Source organism: Homo sapiens, chromosome 1 (genome assembly GCF_000001405.40).
Source record: "Homo sapiens chromosome 1, GRCh38.p14 Primary Assembly".
Taxonomy (NCBI): domain Eukaryota; kingdom Metazoa; phylum Chordata; class Mammalia; order Primates; family Hominidae; genus Homo; species Homo sapiens.
Window position 1 is genome coordinate 84,469,942 of NC_000001.11, and position 1,648 is coordinate 84,471,589.

Consider the following 1,648-nt stretch of genomic DNA (forward strand, 5'->3'; position numbering starts at 1 on the left):
GAGAAGAGGCCTTGAGAAAACATTATTTTCTATAGTGGGCCAGGAAAAAAGAAAAACCTTGGCCAGAAACAACAAACGGTATATAAACTTTGACTCTCCCAAGATGCTGCCCTAGGATCTATCATACAGTGAGATGGTGGCTTCCATCCTGCACAACTGAGTAGAGTGGAAGGACCACCACAAAACATTCCTCAGATTGCCTCCCTAAACAATCTCCCAGAATATATTAAGGCTTTATGTAAGGTTGCTCTTGTTAACTAATGGGTAGTAATGGAAAAGTAAGTATCCCAATTTTCAGGGATCCACACATGAAAGAAGATAATTGAGAGATGGCCTAGCCTGAAAAATAGCCCTGGAAAGTTTACATCAACAAGAGGCCCTTACCACCCCAAACTCCTCAGTCCCTTAAATTCCTACCTCCACATCCTGCATTGCAGAGAACCACTATCAGTGACCTGGAGCCAAGAAAGCCCTTATTCAAGTGAAAATCTCTATGCAACCTAGGGATTAAGTAAGAAAAGCTGTATCCATCACTGTTAGCTTGACAATTTACCAGCACTTCCAGACTTCCCTGATAAAATTAGTAGTAATTTTTTAATGTGATTTCTTGAAACTATATAATGAACGTGTCAACTTTTAGAAGATACATAAAACTCTGCGAACCAATATTTTCCAAATAACCAATGAATGCACGTTGTTATAAAACTATGCATGGGTAAAAGGTCCATTCAAAATGCAAGATAGACCAATAGATTTTAATGTAATAGAACAGGGAAAGCTCATTGACATTATTTCATATTCCACATTGCAACTAACATCTAAGAAACTTACCACTTCTCACATTTTGATGCAGTATCAAAGAAGAATATTCACAATTATCTGAAAAAGCTCTTAAATACTCCTCCTTTGTCCTACCACATACTTGTTTGAAGTCAGAGTTTCTTCATATACTTCAACCAAAGTGGTATATCACAACAGATTAAATGCAGAGGCAGATATAAATCCAGCTATCTTCTATTAATTATAAAAGAGACTTGAAGAGATATTTTTAATGTTATTTTTCTCATTTTTTTATTTTGGAAAATATAGTCATTTTCTTTGTTTACAGAGGGCAGAAAAAAATTGAAAAAGAAAATACAGTAATTTTCACAAAGTATATACATTTTATAATGGTTTTATTTGATTATATTTAAATAAATGCATATTTAATTTTTTCTCAGTTTTAAGGTCTACATGGCAAATATTAACAGATATAACCCACACAAACAAAAGCTCTTTGGGTGTCCTCAATAATTTTTAATAATGTGCGGAGGTTATAAGACAAAAAATTTGAGGACTACTAGACTAAGCTAAGGACTATGCTTTATTACCTTGTGTTTTAAATATTTGTGTCTCTGGACTGGATAATCTAATCACTACACATAGGTGAATTTCTGTGGAAAATATATAACTGAACTACCAAAAAGGAACTTACAAATATACCTACTCTGGCTCTTTGAAGAAGGCACTAGGAAGTTGTAATTCTAAATTTGTTCTTGATTATACAACAAGATGGCAGTTAAATAACCTCTTTTTTGCACTTGCTAGTGTACTGGAATTCCTCAGGGGCAGGGAGTGGTGTCTTTTTGACTGCTACATCCAGAGGACA